Genomic DNA, 2530 nt, shown 5'->3' on the forward strand with positions numbered 1-2530 from the left:
AAGTAGGTACTACCATTTGTTCACATTACAGATGAGAAAGCTGTGGCTCTGAGAGATTAAGTCACTTGCTCATACAGTTGGTCATACAACTGGTAAGTGGAGGAGCCAGATTTTGAGTCTAAGCAATATGGCTCCAGAAAGCACTCCTTAACTACTAAATCATACTACATTCTTTATAATGCAGCAATTCTAATATACACAGTCTCAGGGAGAGTAACAACTGCCTACATTCTCTTGTACTTACGGTTTCTGCCCCCATGCCACCCCTGCCACCATGAGGAAACTTTGCTTTACTGTTCATTTTACCTCAGATGTTCTCTTAGGGATTATTCCCATATTCCCATCTTTGCTAACGATTAATTGTGCTATGTAAGACAAATTGTTTGATGCCTTTAATTCTAAGTTTTCTCCACTGTAAAACAGAAATTATATCCACCTGGCAGTAATATTGTTATTACTCTCTGCCACAGTCCATACCAACCAGCCCAAGCCACCCCACCCACACACTACTGAGTTGGCAGCCAATAAAGCCAAATACCTGCCCTCAGGGACCCTTTCATGGCAGTCACAGTGAACCTACTCAAATTGCTGCTGCTCTAGCTCCTCATTCCCTCTGGACTGGTCCCTGTAGGTACATGCCTTCTGAACTTGGCTATGCATCCTGTGTCCATCCTCACACTGCTATCCCAGACATGATCATCTCAAGTCTTCTCATTTGTTTCTTCAGTGCTTCTCATGCAAAGGTTTGCATTCTTCCTCTGGTTCTGCCTGTTCTTGGCTGTTCCAGCTATCCCCTGCCCAGCCAAGTCCCAGACCTACCTATCAATGGGTCAACCCTGGGCTACTGCCAAGGGCCATCAGACTAAACCTCTGCTAGTACATGTTATGCAACAATATGACTTCTTTCCCTGGTTTATCTATGCTGAGTTCCCATTTAGGAGTTTCCTACATCTAGAATGCACCTTTAACCCAACAATTGGAGTAATGATTTCCATCCTTGCCATTTTTCTGCATTACTAAACACCATCCCAACCCCTGTAGATTTCAAGCACTTGGAGAGATCATTCAGATAGGAGATTCTATCCAGCTTTCTTCCAGTAAAAATAACCATTACTACTTATTAAACATTTACTATATGCCAGACACAGTGCTAAGCAGTTTACATGCATTCCTTCACTTAAACTGTCCAACAATCTTAGGTGACAAATATCATTATCCTCATTTTCCTACTGTAGAAAAAATGAGACACAGAAAGGTTGAGTGACTCACCTAAGATCACACAGCCATCATGTGGCAGAGCTGGGATCTGAATTCAGATTGTATGCTTTTAAGATTAACACCTTTAATCACTGAATACTTTTGCCTCTCAACTTACATCCACCCTACTAAGTACATGAAGACTTTGCTGAGCCTCTTTACAGTTCATGAAATTGTGAAACTCTTTGTCTTCTCTTTCCTATTAATCCTGCCCACACAGGAGGTAGGTGGCTTCCAGTATTTTGGTTAAGCCCAGCCTACTCATATCCTCCCCCATGGCCCCATGCCAACCAGAGGCTGGGGGAAGAGCAGGTGCTGAAACTTTCAGTTCCACATTGGCCAGTTTCAGGAGCTGGTGTAAGAGAAAGGTTGTGGATTAGCAAAGTACTGGTGAGAACCAGCCCTCTACCTCAAGAATGCTCCCAGGCAAGTCATAACTTCTCCCTGAGCAAATCGGGGAAGTCCCAGACCCATGCCATTATACTGGGCCAACTCACCCACATACTACATGGCAGACAGCCAAAGAAAATGAGTCCCAGCTTTCAGGGCCTCATTTGAGGTAATTGCCTTGAACCGTCTCACTTCACTCCTACTCTTGCTCTTCACTTCTTTCTCTGTTCCTTTGCACACCTGACTCCAGTCCTTCTTGGAACTGTCTCCTGTTTGTTTGTGACCCTGCTTTCACCCCTTAGGCTTGCCACACTCAGCTTTTGACCCTTAGTGCTTTCTAAGAACAGACTTGTCATCATCCCCTGGCTCTTCTTGCTCTTTAAAATTCTAACTCATTACCTTGACTAATTTAAGCTGCCACAAATGGAAATCCTACCCTGATGCTGGCCCACCTGACCAGCACTCCAGTCTTCAAGGGGGTGGGGCTTTGGGGTAATAGAGAATAAAGAAGGGAGTCAGAAAGTGATGAGGAACCAATGAGAAAGATGCCTAGCCAATGCCACCACCTAGTGTAACTGCCTCTTCCCTGGTATACTGAGTCTTAGTACCCCTTCTCTATTTTGAAACTTCTTGAGGCCCACCCATTTGTTCCACAAAATAGACATCCCCGGGGAGCTGAGAAGGCATACAGCTACCCTCTTTTCTCAGCTTTAAATTAGAACACATAAACTGACACTATGAATGTGCTTATGGCAACAACACTATGGAATTTGAATTCATGACTGCCCTAGAAAATCTTTGGTGTACCATCTCCATGCTTATATAGTATGATGGAAGAGTGCCACACATACCTGAGTCCTCAAAGAGGTACCTGCTAGCCTGA

General features: G+C 44.1%; 3 annotated features.

The window, feature by feature from the left end:
• Positions 1335–1384: an enhancer, noted in NCBI's record as "active region_29840". NCBI's record gives its function as "activates an Ori minimal core promoter by ATAC-STARR-seq in GM12878 lymphoblastoid cells {active_cell/tissue: GM12878}" and the evidence as "EXISTENCE:reporter gene assay evidence [ECO:0000049][PMID:35858748]".
• Positions 1495–1794: an enhancer, noted in NCBI's record as "active region_29841". NCBI's record gives its function as "activates an Ori minimal core promoter by ATAC-STARR-seq in GM12878 lymphoblastoid cells {active_cell/tissue: GM12878}" and the evidence as "EXISTENCE:reporter gene assay evidence [ECO:0000049][PMID:35858748]".
• Positions 1875–2094: an enhancer, noted in NCBI's record as "active region_29842". NCBI's record gives its function as "activates an Ori minimal core promoter by ATAC-STARR-seq in GM12878 lymphoblastoid cells {active_cell/tissue: GM12878}" and the evidence as "EXISTENCE:reporter gene assay evidence [ECO:0000049][PMID:35858748]".

This window comes from Homo sapiens, chromosome X, assembly GCF_000001405.40.
Source record: "Homo sapiens chromosome X, GRCh38.p14 Primary Assembly".
In the NCBI taxonomy this organism is placed as follows: Eukaryota; Metazoa; Chordata; class Mammalia; order Primates; family Hominidae; genus Homo; species Homo sapiens.